General features: G+C 36.3%; 1 annotated feature.

Moving 5' to 3' along the window:
- Nucleotides 25501–25938: a transcriptional cis regulatory region, noted in NCBI's record as "candidate enhancer chr3.4666 targeted for multiplex CRISPR interference". NCBI's record gives its function as "positively regulates VEPH1 gene expression with high confidence in K562 cells {active_cell/tissue: K562}" and the evidence as "EXISTENCE:mutant phenotype evidence [ECO:0000015][PMID:30612741]".

A 26202-nucleotide genomic window follows, 5' to 3' on the forward strand; every position in this document is an offset into this window, starting at 1 on the left:
GTGGACAAATTCCTTGAGGACAAAAACTGTCAAAGCTCACTCTAGAAAAACTGGATAACCAGAATAGCCCTATATTTATTTACTTTAAAATTGAAAGTATACTTAAAAACATTCACATAAAGAAAATTTGAGACATAGATGGCTTCACTGGTATTCTACAAAATGATTAAGAAAGAAATAATAACCATTATATACAAATTATTTCAGAAACTTTATTTCACAACTCATTTCATGAAGCCACCCTTACTCTTATATCAAAACCAGACAGTGTGGTGTCAAATCAAGATAGACAGATGAATCAAAACAGAACTCAGAAATAGAAACACACATGTATAAACAACTCATGTTTGTGTAAAGCTATTTCAGTGGAGAAACAATAGGTTTTTTTCAAAAAACAGTACTGGAACAGTTGTATATCTATATGCTAAGAAAACACTCTGATCCATAGTTAATTCCACATATAAAAATTAACTTCAAATAGATCATAAACATAAAAGTTAAAACTATAAAACTTCTAAACTAAACATAAAACAAAATTTTTATGAACCTGAGTTAAGTAAATCTTTCTTATATATGACACCAAAACCATGATTTATTTTTAAAATGTTGATAAATTACTTTATAAAATTAAAAATTTTTGTTCTTCAAAAAATACTGTTAAGAGAAGGAAAAGACAAGACATATACTTGGAAAATATATTTGCAAAACATATTGCTGATAGAAGACTTGTATTCAGAATATATGGGCTCCAGAAACTCATTTATAAGAAAACAAAAAACCTAATAAAAATGGTCACGAGATTTGCACAGGCACTTCACCAAAGATCTATGGATGAAAAATAAACATGTGAAAAGATACTCAACATAACTAGTCATTAGGAAAACCAAAAATCAAAACCACAGTGAGCGACTACTACATAAACCTATTAGCATGTCTAAAATTAAAAAAAAACACACACACACAACAAAAATTAACTCAAGATGGATTAAAGACTTAAATGTAAAACCTAAAACCATAAACCTTAGAAGAAAACTTAGGGAATCCAATTCAGGACATAGCCATGAGCAAAGACTTCGTGACTAAAACACCAAAAGCAATTGCAACAAAAGCCAAAATTGACAAATGGGATCTAATTAAACTAAGGAGCTTCTACACAGCAAAAGGAATTATCATCAGAGTGAACAGGCAACCTAAAGAATAGGGGAAAATGTTTGCAATCTACCCATCTGACAAAGGGCTAATATCCAGAATCTACAAGGAACTTAAACAAATTTACAAGAAAAAAACAACCCCATCAAAAAGTAGGCAAAGGATATGAACAGACACTTCTCAAAAGAAAACATTTATGTGCTCAACAAACATACGAAAAAAGCTCATCATCACTGGTCATTAGAGAAATGCAAATCAAAACCATAATGAGAGACCATCTCATGCCAGTTAGAATGGCGATCACTAAAAAATCAGAAAACAACAGATGCTGGAGAGAATGTGGGGAAATAGGAATGCTTTTACACTGTTGATGGGAGTGTAAACTATTTCAACCATTGTGGAAGACAGTGTGGCGATTCCTTGAGGATCCTCAAGGATTCCTCAAGCATCTAGAACTAGAAATACCAGCAATCCCATTACTGGGTATATACCCAAAGGATTATAAATCATTCTACTATAAAGACACATGCACACCTATGTTTATTGCAGCACTATTTACAATAGCAAAGACTTGGAACCAACCCAAATGCCCATCAATGATAGAATGGGTAAAAAGAATGTGGCCATATGCACCATTGAATACTGTGCAGCCATAAAAAAGAATGAGTTCATGTCCTTTGCAGGAACATGGATGAAGCCGGAAACCATCATTCTCAGCAAACTAGCACAGAAACAGAAAACCAAACACCGCATATTCTCACTCATAAGTGGGAGCTGAACAGTGAGAACACATGGACACAGGGAGGGGAACATCACACACTTGGGCCTGTTGGGGGGTGTGGGGAAAGGGGAGGGAGAGCATTAGGGCAAATACCTAATACATGTGGGGCTTAAAACCTAGATGGTGGGTTGATGGGTGCAGCAAACCACTGTGGCACATGTATACCTATGTAACAAACTTACTCGTTCTGCACATGTATCCCAGAACTTATAATATAATAATTAAAAAAAACAACCTGACCATATCAAGTCTTTATGAAGATAAGGGGCAACTGGAACTTCTTATACACTGATGGTAGGAATTAAAAGTGGTAAAACACTTTGGAAAAACCATTTGGCAGTTTCTTAAAAAGTTGCATACAGGTTGAGCATCCCTAATCCAAAACCTGACATTGGAAATGCTCCAAAATCCAAAATTTTTTGAGTACCGACATGACACACAGAGGAAATGCTCATTGGAGCATTTTGGATTTTAGATTTTTGGATTAGGGATGCTTAACCAGTAAGTTAATGCAAATATTCCAAAAAATTTTTTAAAAATCTGAACTCCAAAACATTTCTGGTCCCAAGCATTTCTGATAAGAGATTCTCAACCTGTACATGGATTCAGCCTTTCTACATCTATGTATTTATCTGAGAGAAATGAAAACACACGTCTATGCAAATGCATGTGAATGTCTATAGCAGCTTTATTTGTAATGTCCAAAACTAGACAAAAACCAAATGTCTATGAGAAGATGAATGAATAAATAAATTAGGGTATATCCATACAATGGAATACTACTCAGTAATACAAAGGACTGAAATATTTAGATCTAACATGGATGAATCTCAAAATCATTACACAGTGTGAAATAGCCAGTAAAAAAAAGGCTGCTACTGTATGACTCTATTTAAATAAATTTGTGAGAAATATAAAGTAATCTGTAGTTACAGAAGGAAGATCAGTGGTTGCTTGGATATGCTGGGGAGGGGAGCAAGAGCTGTGAGGGAGGAGTTATAAAGAGTCATGAAACTCTAGGAGAGGAGGATGTGTTCATTGTCTCGATTGGGATAATTTCACAAGTATACATATGTCAAAACCTATAAGAGAGTACACTTTATATATGTACAATTATGTCTATTATACCTCAACAAAGCTGTTAAAAAATCATCCCCAGTACTGGCAAAGATGAAAAAAAAGACACATTCTTATACTGTTGGTGTAAATGTAAATCACTATGACTTTTCTGAAGGTCAACTTGGCTTGTCAAAATCTATAAAAATGTGTATCTTTGGATCCAGATATTCAACTTCTAGGACTTGGTTATAAAGACATTCATCACAGTGCTGTGAATGTCTTATAACAGCAAAAAATGGAAAGGGAAAATTCTCGCCAAGACTTGAAGTCAGAGGAACGTGACAGTTCATACAGAAAAGAACAAGTCCATGTTCCGCTCACAGAAATGGCTCCAGGTGGGAGTCACAAGAGCAGTGGAGGAGTCTCGCCTGATGACTCAGACTCAAGGGTCTAAGGATTTGGGCCCAGCTGTGGCTGATAGTGAAAGCTCCTCCTCTGAGGCTGAACATGTGACAGAGATCTGAGGAGCTGAGACCTTGGGACCAAGCTTGGGGACCACTGAGGCAGGGACCCAAACTTTAAAAGCAGCAGCTCTACAGCAGTCTTGGATAAGAGCCTGGGCAATGGACCAGTCCTCGGTGACCCACAGTATGGCATCTACAACACTGATAATGGTAAGCTTGTCAGACTTGATCTCTCTCTCCAGCTGGCATTTGGAAGCAAGACTAGCCTAAACTGAGAAATCTCCAATTGGAGACAATGGAGACATGCTTGGCATAAAAGAAAAACATTGTATTTTCTGATAGTAAGGAGAAGTGAGAAAGTGAATATTAACTAGAAAAATAAAATTTTTTTAATTAAAAAAAATTAAATGTGACCACATTTGTTCCCTAACACAGTGAAGTGGGTCCTATGGCTTACACATTTATACATTTTTTTTAAAAAAAAATAGAGATTATACTGAATAATATAATCTCTTTTTTTACATATGTTGCAAACATCTTTTCAGATAAATAATATTCATCTATATCATTTAAATATAAAATAATATTCCATTTATATTCTATAAATATACTGTTTTTTTTCATCTTAACCATGCTCCAACATTTGGATATTTTGTTTGTTTCTTTTTTTTTTAATAGAAATTGATCCATCTCTTATCAGGATGGAGTCTACATTTCAAGAAATATTGTGAACAGTGGCTTTTCTAAGACCAGAAAACTTTCCACAATACATTTTCCAAGGACAGTGAGAACCTCTTCATTCTTCATTACATAACTAAAAGAAAGAATCAATTGACTCTTACCTGAAAAAAGCAGATCTGCTGTAAGATAACTAGCTTTATTCATACAAGAGAAACAGGGGCCATTTTTTCATGGATAAATATCCAGATAGACAGGTGAATAAATGAGAAACAAAAAGGGGCGGGGGAAAGAAGGAAGGAAGGAAGGAGGGAGGGAGGGAGGGAAGGAAGGAGGGAGGGAGGGAGGAAAGGAAGGAAGGAAGGGAGGGAGGGAGGGAGGGAGAGAGGGAGGGAGGGAGGGAAACTAATCACCAGGGTGTTAAAGGTGGATATCTACTCTGATGAGGTCACAGGAGTGCCTTTTTTTATTATTTTACTTCTCTTATTGATTTTTCTGCACTGATCATGTTATTTTAGAATAGGAAAAAATATGTTAACATTAATAAATTTAAAATGAAATTATATAACCATATATAACTAAGATTCACTAAGCTACAGAAAAAAATATTCTGATCTGATTTGAATTTTTGTTTTTGCAATGCTGTCATGAAAAAAAGATCAACAGATATGAAAATGTCATAAAATTAGATTTCTATCAATGCTTTTAGAATTGAAACAGATTTATCTAAAGAGATATTTCAGAAAGCAAAATCATTGCGTCAGAATTTTTGAGCTTCAAAAAGAAATGAAATCTTTCTGTTTTGAGAGGCATTCATTTATAAATAATTTATATTCATATATAAATATTTTTTACATTGAAAAAATTTTCAACTATGCTTTGAAAGCTATTCATATGTACATGAATAATATAGCTACATACGGATGGATGCATAGATGATAGATAGATGATAGGTAGATAGATAAATAGATCGCTATCCTTTTAGTTGCTGATAGCATTTCATGTTATGAATATAGTGCATTTTTTATATCCATTCCTATATTCCTTTATATCCATTCCTCTATTGATGAAGCTCTACGTGATTTGCAGAATTTTACTGAGAGGTAATGTGGATTTAAGGTTGAAAGAGTACACTTGGTCTGGGCTGCCTGCCTAAGTTCAAATCCATTCCTACCATTTACAAGCCACATGACCTTAGGCAATGTCCTCAACATTTTTGTTATGTTAGTTTAAAAAAAAATCTATAAGGTGGGGATCTTAATGGTACTTACCTCCTAGAGCTGTTATGAGGATTGTATGGGGTAATATTTGTAAAGTGCTTGGAATCAAGACTGGAATGTAGTAAGTGCTACGTGAGTGTTCGTTAAATATATGCCAAAAGGAACATCCTTGTAAGTGCTTCCTTGTGCACGGTTGCAGGAATTTGTCTAGGATTCCTATCCAGAAGTGAAATTTCTGGGTTGTAGGGTATGCAGATTTTTAATTTGATTAAATGCTGCCAAGTTACACTTCAACATGTCAGTACTAATTAATGTTCTCACAAGGGTGACTTTTTGTCACATATCTGACATTGTTCAACAAAGCCTCCTTAATTTGACCTGATGGATGAAAATGGTATCTTTTTGTATTAATTTACCTTGTCCTGATAAGTGATGAGAGTAAATATATTTTACACTCTGAACATATTCATAATTCCTCTCCTGTTAAATACCTGTTCAAATTAATATTCTTTTCATGGATTCATATGGAGTGTCTTTTTCTTACTGATTTGAAGGAATATTTTACATACTGCAGATACTAAGGCTCTGTTTGCTACATTTGTTGTAATTATATTTAATTTGTTTTTCAGCTTTGTTGACAGGAAATCTTTGCTATATACAAGTTTTGTTTTTCAAAATTTAAAATTAAAAAAGTAATACATTAGCATAGTTAAAAATTTAAGATATACATATTAAAAGATATAGAGTGAAAAGATACCCATTCTCATATCCTTGTTTCTCATTTACTTAGTTCTTGCCTGAACCTCTGCCACAAGAAACAAGATGTATCCTCCAAAGTTTCTTAATTCAAATACAAACAAGTAAAAGTATGTATTTTATTTCCATGATTTTTTTTTCCAGCAAGGTTTCTGATACCCAGGCTGGAGTGCAGTGGTACAATCACGGCTTGCTACAGTCTCAACCTCCCAGGCTCAAGAGATCCTCCCACCTCAGCCTGGCTCGTAGCTGAGACCATAGATTTGCGCAACTACACCAGGCTAATTTTCGTGTTTTTTTTTTTTTTGGTAGATGGGGTTTTGTCATGTTACCCAGGCTGGTCTTGAACTCCTGGGCTCAAGCAATCCACCCACCTCAGCTGGCCAAATTTCTGGGATTACAGGCATGAGCCACCATGCCTGACCTATTGTCACGATTTTACATACAAAGTTGTTTGCTCTATACACTCAGTTCTGCAAATTGCTTTAATTACTTAACAATATATCTTGGTGCTCTTTCCAACTCAGCATGTGGAGGGCTTACTGACTCTTTTTAAAGCTATTAGTCCACTGTGCAGATGTGCCACCATTTATTTAATGACTGGCACTTGGGTAATTTTAATATTTTGTATTCCTAAAAATAGAGCAATAAATTAGATTGAATGTTTTTCATTAAAAAAAATCATTTTCCTTTGATAGTTTATATTTTTTTCTGTCTTAAGAAATCTTTGCTTACCCCAAGTTCATAAAGATTCTCCTTTATTTTCTTCTAAAATATGTAGAGGTTTTTTTCCTGTTTAGGTTTTAATGCAAAATTCATTTGTTGTTTTTAATGTGAGGTAGAAGTCCGTTTTTATTTTCTGTATATAGAGAGCACATTTTTCTAATACAAATTTTTAAACGTGGTTATACTCTATCTATTAATTTATGATACCAACTCTATTATACTCCAAGTTTACATATATGTTCAGATCTATTTCAGGAGTCTCTATTATGTTCATTGGTCTATTTGTTTTCTTCCATGCCAGTACTACACCATTTTTGATTATGTTAATTTTTTAATGTCTTAATACAGTGTAGAAAAAGTACCCCTTCATTGTTCTTTCTTCTTGAAATGTCTTAGCAATTCTGTGACTACATAAATTTTACATGCAACCAGAGTCCATAGAAATCAATTTGAAATCTTGATGAGAATTGTAACGAATATATAGATCATTTGGGGAGTATCAATATCTTTCACATGTTGATTTATTTAATTTATGCACAAGGTAAAATTTCCACTAATTCAAGTACTCTTTTATGTTCCTCAATAAACTATTACATATTGTTTTCATTAAGTTCATGCACATATTTGTAGGGTTTATTCCTAGATACTTTATAGTTCAGTCGCTGTTCCTTCTTTTTTATGTGATTCTTTTTTCCTATTACATTTTCTTTTTATTATTCCTAGTATAAGGGAACTTTAAGGTTTGTATATTGGTTTTTATCTGCACCCTTGCTGAACCGTATTATTAACTTTAAATATTTACGTGTAGATTCTCTTGTATTGTTGGCAATCTTATCATCTGCAAATATAAACTTTTTCCCCTAATTTATTTATCTCTTACTTCTTTTTAAAATTCATTTGTACCCACTTCTGATTTTTTTTTTAACCATCTTGCCATTAGTCATTTCAAGGAACCAGAGTCAGTTTTGTTGGTCAGCCTCACTCCCACCTTTTTTATTTTTATTTTTGTAGTTTCTATTTCATTAACTTCTACTTTTTTCTCCTTGTTTCTTTTCTACAACTTTTATTGGGTTTACATTTTCCCCTAGCCTCTTGGAATTACTATTTAGCTCTTCATATTTCTTTTTGGTTTGCTAAAGTCTTTGCTGTAAGTTGTATTTATGGATTTTATATTCTTATCTTCATTACTTCCTTCCACTTTCTCTAGGTTTATTTTGCTGGGGTTTTGTTTGTTTGTTTGTTTTTTACTTTCCTAAGCTTGAAGTTAAGGCCATGGATTTTTTAGCTTTTCTTTTTCCCTCACATTTGCCTTTAAAACCGTAAGTTTCATGGCTGTAGTTGCCATTTGTAAGTACTGATATGTTGTATATTTATTATCATTGAGTTCAGAATATTTTCTATTTTTATTGTGACTTTTTTGACCCAAGCAGTTATTTACAAATCCACTGTTTGATTTTCAAACATTTAGAGATTTTTCTAGTTATCTTCTTACTCTCCAACAGTGGGCAGAGAGCCTACTCTATTCAATCCTTTAAAATATTTTGAAACTTGTTTCATGTCTCAGCATATGATCATTTAAAAAATGTTTTGCTTGCTGAATCCAGTGTTCTATTCATGTACATTAGATTGAGTTTTAAAATTATTTTTTCTATTATTATAATCTTAGTTTTTTTATGGCTTGTTCTATTAGATATTTAGAGGTGTGTTATAATTGTTGGTATGTTTTGGAATTGTCCATTTTTCCTTATGTCTATTTTGAAGTTCTGTCTATTTTGTAATTCTATTTATTTTGAGTCTCTGTTATACCTAGATAGAAAATTTGAATTGTTATAATCTTCCTTTCGGATAAAAACTTTTATTATTTTATTTTTATTTTTTAGAGACAGGGTCTTACTCTGTCACCCAGGCTGGAGTGCAGTGACATGATCATAGCTCACTGCAGCCTTGAACTCTTGAGCTCAAGCAATCTTCCCACCTCAGCCTCCTGAGTAGCTTGGACTACAGGTGCGCCACCATGCTCTCCTAATTTTAAAAAATTATTTTAGAGATGCGGTCTTGCTGTGTTGCCCAGGCTGGTCTTGAACTCTTGGCCTCAAGTGATCCTCCCACCTTGGCCTCCCAAAGTGCTGGGATTACAGTCATGAACCACTACATCCACCAAAATTAATTTTATTATTATGATGCATTCTCTAATAGTGTTTTTTCTTTCAAAGTTGGCTTTTCTGATAATAATATAACTACATAATTCTTTTGGTTAATATTTGCTTGCTATGTTTTTTTTGTCCTTTTACTTTTAACCTCTCTTTATCCTTATGTTTTAGATGTCTCTTTTTTACATCACATGGTTTTTATCTTTCTTTAAATCTGTTCATCTTTGCCTTTTAACTAGAACATTTAGACAATTTGCATTTAATTTCATTATTTATATATTTGGGTTTAAGTTTACCATCTTGGTATTTGTTCTCCATTTGTTGTATTTGTTTTATGATTCTTTTTTTCTCTGATGTCTTGCTTTTGTTTACTTCGAGCATTTTTATTCCTCTTTTCTCCTCAATAAGTTTAGAAATTATTAATATACACTCATTTACTATTCTTTTAGCACTTCCTTAAAGAATATAACAAGTAAACATGTATATAATTTTATATGTCTACATATAATATGTGTGTATGTATGTGTGTGTATATATACATATGTACATATGGAGGAATCACAAGATATTTTTTCAGCAATGATATTATGATGTACCTAAGTGTGGATTTCTTTTAATTTATCTCACTTAAGATTCATAGGGCTTCTTGAATCTGTAGTTTGAGGTCATTTTTGGAGTATTTATAGCTGTTGCCTCTTCAAATTATTATTCTTGCCCCATTCCCTTTCTTTTCCTTATAAGTCTTCAGTTACATGTGGAAGAAACTACTTTGTTGCACTATTTATATCTCTTAATTCCACTTGTAGTTTCTATCCTTTGACTTTCTGTGCTTCAGTCTGGATATTTTTTTCTGATTTGTCTTCCGCTTCATTAATTCCCTCTTCAGCCATGACTAACAGACTTCCATCCAGTAAAATTTTAATTTTAGCCATTGTAATTTTTGTTTATAGAATTTTCACTTGCTTCTTTTTTAATAAATTCCAATTCTCTGCTGAATTTTTAGTTATATCTTTTTCCCCCTCCTTGAACCTGGTAAGCATAATAATAATAATAATGATAATAATAATAATAATTATTATTATTATTATTATTTTGAGACAGAGTCTTGCTCTGTCGCCCAGGTTGGAGTGCAGTGGGGCAATCTTGGCTCACTGCAACCTCCGCCTCCCAGGTTCAAGGGATTCTCCTGCCTCAGCCTCCTGAGTAGCTGGGATTACAGGCACGAGACACCACTCCTGTCTAATTTTTGTATTTTTAATAGACACAGGGTTTCACTATGTTGGTCAGGCTGGTCTCGAACTCCTGACCTCATGATCCACCCACCTTGGCCTCCCAAAGTGTTGGGATTACAAGAGTGAGCCACTGCACCCAGCCAGCATAATTATTTTAAAGTCTATGCCTAATAATTTCAGTACCTGGGGATTCAGAGAGTGCATTTCTGTTGGCTATTTTTTTCTAGTTTTTATTCATATTTTATTGTTTCCTTGTATGCTAAGTTGTGTGTGTGTGTGTTAATGGACATTGTATTTGCAGTGTCCATCGTAGAAATAATTTAATGCTAAGGATGTCATGTTCTTAGGAAGAGGATTTATATTTGCTTATGCCAGGTACCTAGAGGCATTAGCATGGTATCAACTCAATTCAGTTTAGGTATTGATATAAGTTTAAGTTGAGTTCACTTCTATTTCCCATTTATCCTGTCTCTGGGATAGATACCCTCAGAGTTTCTACAGGGGTTTCTACAAGTCACCTTTCCTTCTTGATAGGTCCTAAACTCTAATGGCCATTGATTTTTCTCTGTGAAGCTGTGAAAAGTAATACTCAACTTCTCAGCCTCTTAGACTTTCAGGGTCCCTTTGAGTCAGCAAAGCTCACCAAAGAAAAATGGCCCCCAAAGCCAGGTTCACCTCTCTGGGCTTTGATCCCTCTTCACATCTTGACTCACTGATACTTTAATATCTTTTTGCATTTTCAGAACCTTGGAACAAACTATTCTTTCAAACACTTAAAAATTATCTTTTTTCCAAATTTTATTGTCCTTAGTAGGACAATTGGTCAGATTTACATAGCCTGTCTTTATTCAAAGTAGAATTCTGAAGCAGTTAATATTTTATTTTAAAAATGAATTTTTTTCATAAGAGTAGAAAATTTGTCTGCACATGCACTGGGATTGCTTTGAAATGGCATTTATGAATGCTTTTGTGTCATTTCTACAACCTTACTTTTAATAGTTCAAGAGTTCACATTGTAAAGACACTAAATAAAGCAATAAATTGCCTTGAAAAATGTCTAAACTCCAAATATACTTCACCAGCATACATAACTCTGGTTCTTTATAAGCAATGGTATAAGAGTTGCCAGGGAAACACCTTACCTAGTTCCTTTATCCTTGAGCCATCATAAAAGATTTCCACCAAAATTTCAAGGACTAAACAATGACTAACTTTCTTAACTAAAGGAGATTTCAGAAAACAACTACTAAGGCTGATAAGAAACATATGCTAAGAAGGCAAGAGCATGAAATTAATTTTTTTTAAATGTGGGTACTATTGTCTTTATCTTTACTACCCCATAAAGAATGGTTTGTGAACTAGATGCAACCCCCATCCCTAATATGCTTCATTATTAAAGCAACACTTAATTAAGTGGCAGACAAAGCCAGAAACATGCTGTGGTTTAAGAAAGTCTCTTAGGTTATTTTCAGATGTTTCTTGTTTGGCAAGAGCCAGAGCACATTTTGTTGAGCACATTTTATTCCTATGTGTATTTTAAGGGAAATCTAACCCATGTGTTTTATTTCATTAATATTTTGCCAAGTTAAATGGTTCTTTTGTAAGATATATTTAATGTTGTTATTTTTATGAGACTTTTTCCCCTGGATTATGAATTCATATGTCACCTAAAATAAGTATACTTTGATCCAAATATCTTGTAGTTACAAAGTCAGAAACCCACAGAACTTGGGTGATTTTTCCAGCAGTGCCAAATACAATATTTTATGTGTACTACTAACATCATGTTTTTTTTCTCATATTTGTCAATCAGCACTTTATTGGAAAAACAAGAATTATCCACCTTTTAAAGTCCTGCTTTTTGATCAATATCCAGAGGAGACCATAGCCAAATTCAATATGAGCCACTGACTTCAGGTAGTGGGTGTAGATCTAAGTGTGTGATCTGTATAATGACTAAATCACAGCTATGCTGATTTAAGTGGATACATCAGAGGACTTGAATACTAACCCATAGCAGTGTCAAAAGTGACCAGGCCAGGCGCGGTGGCTCACGCCTGTAATCCCAGCACTTTGGGAGGCCGAGATGGGTGGATCATGAGGTCAGGAGTTCAAGACAAGCCTGGCCAAGATGATGAAACCCCATCTCTACTAAAAATACAAAAAAAAAAAAAAATCAGCCAGCATGGTGGCAGGCGTCTGTAATCCCAGCTACTTGGGAGGCCGAGGCAGAGAATTGCTTGAACGCAGGAGGCAGAGGTTGCAGTGGGCCGAGATTGCGCCATTGCACTCCAGCCTGGGTGACAGGGCATTCTCCGTCTCAAAATAAAAAAAAGTGACCAGTGACGATATGGACAAGAGGAACTTTCAATCAATACTAGTGGGAGTACAAATTAGTAAATTGCTTTAGAAAACAATTTAGATTATCTAATGAAGTTGCAGATGCACGTGTCATATAACCTAATAATTTCACTCCTTAGGAATAGTTCTGGAGAAACCTGTACATGAAAACCAGGACACATATACAAAAAACTTCACAGTGTCATAACAAAAAACTGAAAACAACTTAAATAACCATTAATAAGAAAATGAGTAAATAAGTTGTGATATTCATACAGTGAGATTATATAGAGCAATGAAAATGAATGAATTATAGACACATACATAATTATAGACACATTAACATGGATGAATCTCAAAAACAGGGTGCTGAATTAAAAAAACAAGTTATAGTAGAAAAATGCACTATGATTATATTTACATGAAGTTCAAAAATGTGTAAGAAAAGATGTTAATGTTTAAGAATATGTATAAATATATAACACTAGAAATAAAAACATGGAATGATATAAATAAAATTCAAGATAGTCATTATTTCTCATAGGATAATGGAATGTTGAGGAGCTAGAATACACGAAGAGCTTTAAGATTGCATTAATGTTCTATTTTCTAAAAGCTGCATGATATGTACGTAAGTTTTCTTTTTTTATCCTGTTTGTACTTAAGAAATATGTGGTGAATATTATTTTGTATTTATTCAACTTTTAAAACTTAATTGAAAATGCAGATTCAAGCATACAATCAACATACTGTATTATTTACCTGCAACCCCAATTCCCATGAAACCAAAGCAAAAGGTGCAGTCTGTCAGAGTTCAGTTATATGTTTAATGGTTCCTTTCCTGTTCTGACTTAAAAAAAAAAAATCCCTTTGGGTCTTTCTATGTCTTACATAGCTGGGCTATTTCTTGTATTTTCAAATTAGATTAAATACTATCAGGCAGCTTCTGTCATTCCATATAAGTAGTAGTGATTACTCTATCAGAAAAAAAATCTATAATAACATGGCATAGTAGTTAATGTTTGACAAGCAAGTCTCCATGGTGTACTATAGCTGTCAGTATAGCCATTAGTAACATGAAGACACAATGGGCTAAATTCTACAAGAGAATAGAGCTCTCCCTCCTTGAAAATAAGCACTGAACTCTTTCCAAACAAGGAATCTATTTATTGTGTAGAATCAATTATTTACAAACTGAGGGCAGCTAGCCTCTTTCTTCCCCTTTCTCTGCCTTTCTCCCCTCTGTTCCTCACTTACTTCCTTTTCCAACTTTATTATTGTTATTACTATTTTTCTTTCTTTCTTTCTTTCTTTTTTTAGAGTATCACTCTGTCACTCAGGCTGGAGGGCAGAGGTGCGATCTTGGCTCACTGCAACTTCCGTGCCCCAGGTTCAAGCAATTCTCCTGCCTCGGCCTCCCAAGTAGCTAGGATGACAGGCATGAGCCACCATGCCCAGCTAGTTCTTTTGTATTTGTAGTTTCACCATGTTGGCCTGGCTGGTCTCGAACTGACCTCAAGTGATCCACCCGCCTCGGCCTCCCAAAGTGCTGGGATTACAGGTGTGAGCCACCATGCCCGGCCCTTTTCCAACTCTATTAAATATCTATTTCGTGTCAGTTGCCAAATGTTTATGTATGCACTGGTGTCCCCAAAGAATTGCTGGAACTTCTGGCAGTGCATATCCTGCTGTCACAGCTCCTTTTTCGTTCTGGAAAAGAATGACCCTTTCTTTGGTTAATCAAGTGACACTTTCACAAATTTTGCCATATTTGTTACTTGCATAATTTCTTTTTTTAAAATTGTGAGTTCTACAACATATACAAATGAGCATATGTAATGTATATTTATATATAAAGAATAACATTATATATTATACATAATATAGATTATGTATAATATATAATTTAAAGAATGATGACATTAACACTCATATACTCATGACTCAGGCTAAGGAATAGACACTAACTGCAATTAGAATGTATGCACTCCCCAATTTTTCCTCCTTCTTCTCATCTAGAAATAATGCACTGCTTGAATTGTATATCATCATTCTCTTGCTTTTTGCGTCATAGTTTTATAACCTATTTGTTTCTCTATTTTACATGTTTTGAGATATTAATATTAATGTGGTAATGTAGTACACATTCTTCTGTGACTCAATGTTTTTCATTCAACATTCCATTCTTGTGATTCATCCTATGATGCTGTGGATGATTTACTTTTTACAGTTGCATAGTATTCCACTGTATGTCTTTCTCTCATTTTATCCTTTCTTTTTTGATGGACATATGACTTGTTCCCAGCTATTGCAACTGCAAGAGTCAGCTTTGGACATCCTTATACATGTCTCCTAATGCAAACATGCAAGTGTTTCTCTTGGCAATGACATTGTTGGGTCATAGGATATGTGAATATCTCACTTTACTGAAAATGCTTATTTATTTTCCAAATAGCTGTACAGATTTACATTCTCATCTGCAGTGGGTGAGAGTTCTTTACATCATTATTAACAGTTAATAGTGCTTGTTTTCAAATTTGTCCTCATCAATGAATTTGGACATCTTTCAGTATTTATTTGCCATTCACATTTTCTTCTGTGAAGTGTTTATTCATATCTTTTGCCTATTTTTCCATTTGATTCTTGATCTTTCTCTTCTTGATGCATAAGTGCTCTTTGTATGTATTTTATGTGTTCTTTTTCCTGTATATGTATCTCAAATATGTCCTCCCAGTCTGTGGCTTAAAGTTTGATCTATTTATGATATTTTTAAATCTCCTTTGATGTATTTATTTTAACGTAGTCAAAATTATAAAATTTTTCTTTATGCTTTGTGCTTTTTTGTGTCTTATTTTAAAAATCCTTCTCTACATGATTATAAATATATTCTCCTTTGTTGTCTCCTAAAAGTTTTTAAAGTTTTGCATTTCACATTTAAGTCCTTAATCCACAAAGAATTGACAGTTGTTTGTGGTGGAATATAAGGATCTGTATTTAAAAAATTTTATTTTTGTATAATCAATTAGTAGAGTTCCATTTGTTTTAGGAGTGAATCCCTTCTCCAGTGAGCTGTACTGCCATCTTCACATATACCATTTTCTTCTAGGGAAGAGTCTGATTCTAGAATCTATAATATGTTTTGTTCTTTTAGAATATAGTCTATCCCTGCACCAATACCACATTGTTTCAATTACCATATTTGGTAGAGCACATTGCCTTATTTTTCCTTTCTCAAAATTATTCCAGTGATTCTTGGCCCTTAGCATTTCCATGTAAACTTCAGAATCAGATTGCAACTTCCATGTAAAACTCTATCTAAATTTAAATTAAATAGTACGGGTCAGGTGTGGCAGCTCACACCTGTAATACCATCACTTTGGGAGGCTGAGGTGGGCAGATGGCTTGAGCCCAGGACTTCAAGACCAGCCTGGGAATTATTGTGAAACCTCATCTCTACAAAAAAAATAGAAAAATTAGCCAGGTATGGGAGCATGCACCTGTAGTGGCAGCTACTCAGGAGGCTAAGGTGGGAGGATTGACTGACCCTGGGTTGAGACAGGGCTGCAGTGAGCTGTGATCATGTCACTGCCCTCCAGCCTGGGTGACAGAGTGAGACAGAAAAGGAAAGGGAAGGAAAGGGAAGGGAAAGGAAGGGAAGAAAGAAAGAAGGAGAGAAAGAGTATGAAATGTACAGATAATTTGGGAAGAATTAACATTTTTACATTAAATTTTCACATTCATAAGGTTGCCATAATTCCAAAATTATTTAGGTCTTCTTTGATGTTTTTCAATAAATTATTTTATTTCATATTTGGCTTTGTACATTTTTTTGCTAGGTACCTTATTTTTGTTACTATTGTCAATGGTGGGAATGCAAATTGATAAGACTGTTCTGGAAAACTATATGACAGTACTTTATGACACGGAAGAAGCACGTGCCTGTCCCTGGCAATGCCAGTCCCAGGTGTCTACCAAGGGAAGCTCTTGCCCGTGAACACCAGGAGATCCGTAAAAACAGCCTTATTCACATTCAAAAACAAAAAACAATCCACATGTCCATAAGCAGTATAGTGGATAAATTATTGTGATAGATTCACTGAAATAGCACGTAGGAATAAAATTAACTAAATCTATGCATATTAACTTGTATAAACATTAAAATCATAATGTTGAGTGAAAAGAGCAAATCACAGAAGAATCCATATAGAATGATCCTTTTCATATAAAATGCAAGGACAGAAAATATTATATTTAAGTATATTAGGCAATATGTTAGCAGCACAGGCATATGTGGTAAGATTATTAAAAAGACAAATAAAATTAGCATTAAACTCAATACAGGAGTTACGTGGAAATGCAAGGGAACAGAGTTGTTATTGGAGGGGCACATTGTCAGCTCTGAAATAGTCATTTTCTATTTCTTAAGTAGGCTAGAGGGAACATATGCGTTTGTTTTATTCTTTTAAAATATACAAATGTGTGTGTGTATATGTATGACACACATATATAGTATGTGTACTTTTGACATATGATATCATCTATAATAAACTCTTCATACAAATTTAATTAAAACTTTTAATAACTGAACTTTTTTGGTAATCCAAAGTACTTTTTATGGTTTCATGATGGCTCATTAATATGTCAGCCTCAAGAGTGGCTTATGGCTGAAGAGTTTTCTTTAGCCCCCTGGACAATTGAAAATGGGATAAATGACAAACTTTGAGATCCTTTTTTTATTTCCAATCCTCCTTTCTTGCTTAAAATTATCCACTCCAAGCTATTACTTTTCATAAGTCCTGTTTCATTGACTGAATGGCATGAAACTCTCTTATTTAAAGAAAGTAATCTAGTCCAAATTTTCCTAAACTTTAAGCCATTTGAAAATCCCTTTATAATTTTTGAGATATCCATTATCACATGTGCTGTTACATATATAGTATTTTTCTTTATTTTTCATTTCATATTTTATTTCAAAATGCAGTATTTTTCATTAAGTTTGTCTTAATTTGGCTCACTTTTGCTATACTTACCTCACCTTAAGAAATATTAGTGAAATCATGAGTTTGATGTGCTATTTCTATTTTACCTGACATTCATGAAAATAGAATCAGAACTATCAACATATTTTAAAGTTTTCCACATATCACATCTGACCAAAGGTCATTCTATGTCCATGTGCCACACTTTAGGAAAGTCTAATTAAAAGTAGGAACACACACACACAAACACACACACACACACACACACACACACACACGACTGTCTGCTTCTCTTCCCATCTCCTCTGCTCCAACAGTACATGTTCACTGGAAGGGCAACCAGCAGCCAGCTCTGGTTTCAGCATTTGCCAGGCTGCCAATCTTCCCCTTTGTCTGTAGAATGTTTCCCATTTGGATTTGCTTTCTGCCTTTTATTTGGGCTTGCCATCTTTCTGTTGCCCAGCTCACTATAAAAGGGGGTAAATTTATGCCCTGGGAAACCAACATTCCCGCAGCTGCAATGCCAGCCGGTCGACCAAGATAAAGTATCAGAGCAGAATTAACAGACTGGTGCTCAAGTCCCTGTTTACACATGGGCCAAGTCACTAGGGGCATGTGTGGCTATGTTAAGAGTAGGTTGTCAACCTCCCCATCAGCATCCTGCCAATAGCAGGGTGACAGCAGGCCCTACAGTCTTCTGTGACAATCCAATTCACACATCTCGAGTGATCATCAACCACTTGGGCTTAACTGACTCAAATTCTCCACCCACTTTCTAGCTTGGACATTCTTGGTTTATTAAGTCCTGCTTAATAGCATGAGGCATCTCTGACACAGTTTGATTAAATAAGTTTTTTCTCTTCCTTTTAGTTGCTCTTTAAGCTTGGATGGTTTAGATATTTCCAGAAGGCTGCCACTGCCTCTTAGTTCTACACATGTGTATATGATGCCATTGGCAGGGCCTTCCAGGCGCATAGCTGAGTCTGTTAAGACTTAGTGAAGCCTGAAACAGAATCAATGTTTCATTTACATCAGAAGGCTCTACATCACATCACATCCTGCTGGACACAAGCTGGACAATATCTTAATACTAATCAGCTTTTTCTGACATTGAATTCTAAGGCTTGGTATTTTGAAAACAAAAAGTATTAGCTTTGGCCCTCCCAGCTGCTCTCTGACGATTGTCTGCCCCCTTGCCAGACTGTACAATTTGACACTCTTGTTCAGCGACTTCTCACTCATTAAACTGATCAAGATACAAAACTCGTTAGTTAATTTTTCATGCACTTGGGGGATCTGGTTGCATATTTTAATGATCTGCTCTCAGAATGTGCTGATCAAACTGCATATTTTGTTGATTTGCTGTGACATATCCTTAACCACAGTGTTGCTCACACAGGGTCCTGGGTGATGTGAGCTGCATCCAGGAAATGCTGAGTAGATGCCATGTGTGCTAATTGAGCTGTGCAGCTCCACTGAGGCTCTGATGTACTCTTTACTGATTGATTTGAATAATAACCATTTGGAAATTTCATATTCCGTATCCTGGGGCTCAGATGATATCAAAACTAATATTTATTAGAGTAGCATTCATTCTAGTTAGACCCTAAGGCATTTTTCTCATTTGCTTAAGGTTTGGTCATGAAAACTGGAGACTCCACACACATGCACACACAAACACACACACACACACACACACACACACACACACACACACACACACACACGCCCCATGCATAAATGAGATAAACAAAGAAGCCAGGGTGGAAGTCTAGACAAGGTCAAACAGAAAGATAATAGCAATAACTTAGCTAGACTCTCTGGGTCCTGTTTTTGTTGAGAGCTTAGGAATTGGCTGTATGTATTTGAAAAACAAATCATCTGACCTTGCTGTCTCAGCCAGAGAGGGTGCTCAGGACCCCTGCCAACGAGGAGGCAGAGAGCTGGGCCACCAGGGCCTTCTTCAGAAGGTCAGGGGAATTGGGCTGTTATCCAGAACCTACATGACTGATCACATGACTCCTAGCAAATAAATCACGATCTCCAGATCTCATTTGCCAAATTTGTTTTTTAAAAAGATGAGTGAGGCCATGGGCACTTTCAACTTCTAAATTCTATAAGGTATAAATAGTCAGGTCATGGTTAAAAAAAAAAACTCTACCAAGGAAAATTATTTTACATTATAGACAGATGGATTTTGCTTTAATATACTACCACAACACAATAATAATAAAATAGAAAATCAAAATTAAAAGGGGGGTTTGAGAGTAGTGGGATTGTCTTCTCAGGATAGAAACAAAAAGATGACATAAATAAACATGATTTTTCAGCATGCTTCAAATGCAGACTTTTGGGGCAGATACTCTGTATGAACCTATAAGGGACCAGATAGTAAATATTTTAGTCTATGTGAATCATATAGTCTCTGTCATACCTATTCAACTTTTCCATTATAGTGGGAAAGCAGCCACAGAAGACGCCATAAACGAATGAGCATGGCTATCTATCAATAAAACTTTATTTATAAAATCAGGCAACTGGCTGAATTTGGCCCAAGAGCAGTGATTTGTTTACCCTTGGTCTAAAACATTATCCTATTATTTTTCAGTTTACTCTTCTATAAAAATATAAACCTGATAAGATCTACTATTTGTGAATGTTAGAAGAATTAAATGAATTATTACAATATTTAGTACTCAAGTACTTAGAACCATGACTCACACATAGAAAGCACTATGGAAATGTTAGTTAATTTTTGTTACTATTAGTTATTATTTGGATTGTATAACCAAATTAATTCATTGTCCTGATAATTAAGTCTCTGCCATGTGTCATTTCTGGGTTCTGTGTTGACCTAACCAATCAAAGCCTTTTTGTCATGGAGTGCACAGAATGGGGTGGGAGTCAGAGATGAAAAAAGAGATATCTAGCTAGCTAGCTAGCTAGCTAGCTATTGAGAGAATATATATCTCTCTCATAAATGATATGGTTATATCTATAGAAGGAAAGAGAAAGGATGGCTCAGGAGCACATGCGCATAGTAGAGACAGCCAACCCATGAATGGAAGAGATCAGATGAGGCTTCCAGAAGGAAGTGATAGCTAAACTGAACATGCAAAAGCAGCAGGACTTTGCCTGTCAAAGGGGACAATGAGGGATGAGGGCATAGCTGGAAGGTACAGGAAGAGTGTTTAATCAGAGGAAACAGACTGAGAAGAGTTGAGTGAATGGGAAGTGATGAGGAGGGAGGCTAAAGAGATGGACAAAGCCTCATGAGCCATATTATAGATTCGGGGTGGATCCTAAACTGGAAGCTTGCATGGTTTAAGCAGAGGAATGACATGATCAGATTTTTATTTTAGATAGAATGCTCTGACCACACATGGAGAATGGATTGGAAGGGGCAAGACAAAACCAGTGCTTAAAAAAAAAAAAAAAGGCAACAAGAAAACACTCAGAGGGGCAGAATCATACGGATAGGAGGTGGAGAGAGTATCAAGAAAATGGGAGGATGGTCAGCCATTTGAAACTTTTCAGAGGGGTTAAGAAAAATAAGGCCTAAAGAGAGGTCATCAGTGGCCTCATAGAAAATGCTTGTAAAACAGTGATAAGGCCCAGCTTAGACTGTAAGGACAGTGGTCACTGGAAATAAACACAGAGGTTAATTTCAAGAAAATTTGAAAGAGAAGCAGAAGTTGAGTCATAGATAAGTAAAACTGGAACTGAATAGAGGAGAAGGAAGCGTAAAGGAAGCAACTCACAAGGAGAGAGAAGGGGGATAGTTGATGGAGATGGTCACTCAAGAAGGCTCCAAGGAACAGGATCCAGAGAAGAGTGCTGGGTCAGCCTTGGCAGAAAGGAAGGCCTAACCCACTGTGGCATGCAAAAAAATGTCTTAGAGTAACAACAAAAATCAGTCTGTTGTGGACAAACGAGAGCCAAGAAAACTACCCTAGATCTTCTAAAATACAGGATGGAATATGATTTCCTAGGAGTGGGAAGTGGTAGCATCCGGCTGAGAACCTAGGGGTGGAGGAATAGGTCTGAGTCAGACACCATGGAGAATGTGATGAGATAAAAAGAAAAAAAATGAAACAAGATTTGAATCAAGTCTTGAGGTCTCAAATCAGAGTTTGAGAGCATAAATACATGGTGGACTCTGACAGCACCATCTGGTGATTTCTCCCTGCAAGCAAAGGTCTCACTTCTCAGCCCAGATCCAGAAAAGACAAAACAGAAAATGTGAGTGACCCAGAGGTGTGAACTGGCTAGGTGGGAGTTGCAGAGAGCTTCTGAGGAGAGGGTGGTAGAGTGCTGGATAGAGTACTGTGGGGAGCATAAATGAACGACCCAGGCCGAGGAGCCTGCCAAGGGAGGCAAGAAGCACAGGGTGGCTACAGGGAATGTCACGGATGCCCAACCTCAGTTATTACAGTCATTAAACTGGTTTTGTTTCATTTCATAACATTCACTAGAATGAATTAATTTCCAGAGCTTATTGGGCTGTCATTTTGTGATATAAGAAAACAAAAGAAACTTACTCATTACAGTGACTAAAGAGAAGGGAGGTAACTTCCAACTGTTAGTTAGTTGAAATGGAATTCCCTATCTGATAACTATTTCACAAAAGTAGCATTTCAAACCCAGCTTGTGGAGCTCTCCATTGAATGAGAAATGGGGCAGAACCATCTGTCAGCACATCTTCTTGAAGCTTCCTTCTAAAGGAGAGCCCTTCAGGCTGGGTGTGCGGCCCTCACACCCAAGGCACACTGCTGACCTCCTTCCCTGATAGCCGCTCTTCCACTTAGTCATACCAGTGCTTCCTGACGTTTAAAATACCTGAATTTTTGGTAGCACATTTGAGGAAATTAAAAGGCAAACACTTTTTTAAAAAAATAAAAGCAAATTTCAGAAAACTTTCTATAATTATCCTGTTATTTTTTCGTTTGCCCATTGACACCATGTAGCTGCTTGAGTGGAAATGTTTACTGGCCCAATAAAGTTCTCCTGTGCCCTCTTGGGAGTAGAGCTCTTCTGGGTTTCAGTAAACCTGGGCTCTTTCTGTGGCCCTGATTTCCTTTCCCATTTCTACCTTTGCCTATCGCAGCAAGTTGACCCCTGCCCCACACCACCCACCCAAACAGCCTTGCTCCGCCAAGTACCCAGCCCCTCACTGACCTCACCTCAACTGTGTAAAAACAAATTAGTCACACTGATCCAAATGTGTCTGGATGGATTGCCCCCCCACACATAGAATATGAGTCGAGGGGGAACTTGTTTTCCATCTCTGGAGCAGCCTTATAGAAAGGCTTAAAAATCTTCAGCCTCACAACTTTCACAGAGCCACAGAGCTTTCCTCTGTAGTCGGTGATTGTCTGTATCTGGAAGCCATTTTTAAAAATAGAAAAGGAAATGTCTTTCACTGTTTTAAAATGCACACACTGGCAGGTAGTAGTGATAGCTATTTCAGTACCGCAGACACCACACTGAAAACACTTTCTATACTTTACCTCATTTACTCCTCACAGCAACCTTTACCTACAACAACAGCCAGCATCTAAAAAGGCACTGTTACTATTCTGTTTTTCACATGGGATGACTGAAGCTTAGAGAACAGTAAAATGACGCCCTAAAGTCACACAGCTACTAACAGAGCCATGATTTGCACCCAGCCAGGCTGAGCTCAGAGACAGCACTCTGAAATGCCTAATTCAGTGGCTATTTCATTTATACTCATTATTAATGATTGAAGTTTTCTAGAACCTAAGACTGCGAGCTTACCTAACCCAGGTTCTCCTTTCCACCTGGCTACACTCATTTCCTTATTTGATACAATGCCTTCTTCCTTATATGGTTCTTTACGAAGTGTAGTCAACAGGCTTTTAATTCATTGCTTCCTGCCTCTTTAGTCCTCTCCCACCTTCAATTCTTTCCCAAGATCTCGGCCACAATACTGTTTCCTCTCTACTGTTTTTTACTCACATCTTCCACAAGGGGGCACATTCTGACCATAAAGCTTTGAGGCTCTCCAGTCAGCTAAAATACAACCAGCGTCACCCTAATGCTTTCATTCTGTTACAAGAAATGCCTTTATTCAAGCTACATTCCTCATTGTTATTTCACGTAGGGGAAACAACAGTAAAAAAGGAAACCATATAATTTTTGTAGACTGTTTGACCATAATTCATTCACTGGATTTCTATGTTAGGTATGGAATCCATTAAGCAGGATATTGAAGCTTATGAATGGAAACCTAGTAATTCCTCTTTAATAAACATGAGTTACTTTTATTTCTTAAACTTTATTAGGCATTTACTCAAAACATTACTCAGAAATGTTTGTTAATAATATGAATGATGATTTTGATTCCGTTTGCGTTGTTACTATGTCTAAGGGTCCAAAACACAAAGTCTGGATTATTCATAAAGACTGAGAAAATGGCTGGCATTTGAATGTAAATCTTAGTGCTTGAGCCTAACTCCATCTTGACACTTCTCACCAACCCTAAGGAAGGAGTGGCTGCTACCACAGTGGCCTTTTTGTGTAGCTGAGGAAACCAAGACATGAGGAGATTCGTTCAGGCCTTATAAGAGTCACATATGGGGAATAGGCCCGGTTCTTGTCAGCTCCCTGAGGCTACACTGGTCACCAAGCAGAACTACCGCAAGAGGAAAATGAAGAATGAAAGAAATATGAAGACAATTCTAACATTAAAGGCAGGCTCACCTTGTCCTCTTTGCCTGCCAGACTTCTAAATGGTGGATTCCTCCCTGTTTAGTTTCGGGCTCTCTTCTCTTCTCCTTCACTCTTCTCCTAAACAATTGCATCCACTTGCAGGACTTTGAATATCTCCCCAGACCTCTCCTCTGACACACTTCCCCTGAGTCATAGCTAACTGCCTGTCTGAAAACTCCATGTGGAGGACTCCTTGCCGTAGTAAACTGAGTAAGTCCAAATTGAAGCAATTGATTTCCTGCCACGTCCCTGAAAAAGCATCACCATCCTCCCAGCATCCTCCTTTCCCAATTTCAGAAAACGGCCCTGATGTCTACCCGGTTACTAAAAGCAGACCCCTGGGAGCCACACTGACATCCACCTGTGCCTCTTCCCACACTCAAATGCATCAGCCAGTCCTCTTGATTCTATGTCTAAAATAGATCTTGTATTTTTCCACTTTTTTTTTTTTTCCATTTTGTGTTCAAGTTTCTGCAGTCTCTGGCCTGGACCACAGCAGAAGCTTCTCCCTGGAGCACTGTTTCCATTCGTGTTCCTCCTTCCACAATCCAGTCTCCACACAGAAGCCAGATTAGTCTTCTTAAAATATAGATTTGACTATTATTTATCCTGCTTAAAACCCTTAACTTCTCCTGACACATGAAATAAAACCTCAATTCCTTATTATGGCCCACAATGTCCTGTACCCTCTGGTCCCCACCACCTGTCCAGCATTAATCCACTGCTCACTTGGCTCAGCTGCCTTCTGTGGGACCCAGAGCAGGCCATGCTGCCTCGTACCTCAGGGCCTCTGTGCTGGCTGTTCCTTCAGGCCTTCCTTCACCACCCTAGCTAGGTCAGTCCTGGTTATTTTCTAGTATCCTAATTTTTTCCTTTCTGACACTTCTCACAGCCAATAATTATTTTGTTAATTTAGTTGCTTACTCATTTATTATCTCCCTCCCAAACTATGTAATTCCAAAGCTGGTTCAGTCAATAAAATCACTATTCATAACAGAGATGGATAAAAATGTGAATAGTCCAATTAAATTAAATAGTAGTCAGACTAATTAAATAGTCCAATTTTATTTGCAAATCCCTGTTCTGCCAAGGTAAAAAATGTAATATGAATTGAAGTGGTCCCCTATCCATTTCCATGGGGTTGTGCACAATTTGTAAGGGGATTACATGGGCACCCCATTAAGATGTCCATGTTCTCTGTCCACACAGCACCTGCAATGACAACTATTGTCCTTCCAGGTCTCTGTCAAGTGTTCACAAAGGCCACCAGAGGGACATTCTCTTCTAATCACAGGCGTCCTCCATCCAGTGAATCTCACCACTGTTTCTATCAGGTGCAATCCACATCATTTTGCAGCTCCTGCACCATGCTGGGGTCTGGACAGACTGTGTTGTTGGATGAGGCGTGGTCTGTCTCAACATGACTCTGCAGTCTTTCCTACCTGGAACAGGCACTAAGCCCCTTTTTCAAGACCCATCAACATCTGGACTCCTATTACCCCTCCTCCAACTCTCCTATATTTTCAGTTTAGTTCAGTGAATCATTTCCTAGAAGGAAGAGTGGAGGGGACAGATAGGAGCCTTGCTCTTATCTTTAAGGTTTCTTACTCAAATATTTTATGCTGTATTAAGTCTGTGTGTTCCTCTGAGGGCCTAATTTTTTGAAACACAAAATCAAAGAGAAGCTTTTTTCTCTGCTTACTGTTTTCATATCACTTCCCCAAATCTATGAACCCCAAAAACATAATTAGTTGAATTGGGGGAAAGAACTTAAAAAGGAGATGGGAATATATATATAAATAAGATAAGTTAAGGGTTCAAAATATCTCTCCCTTACACTAGTATTGTGCCTGGTACATTGTTAGTGTGTAATAGGTATTTGTAAATTAAGAATTAATAATAATAAATGAATGAATACATATTCAGCATTGTC

The sequence above is a fragment of the Homo sapiens genome, chromosome 3, assembly GCF_000001405.40.
Source record: "Homo sapiens chromosome 3, GRCh38.p14 Primary Assembly".
NCBI classification, from domain to species: Eukaryota; Metazoa; Chordata; class Mammalia; order Primates; family Hominidae; genus Homo; species Homo sapiens.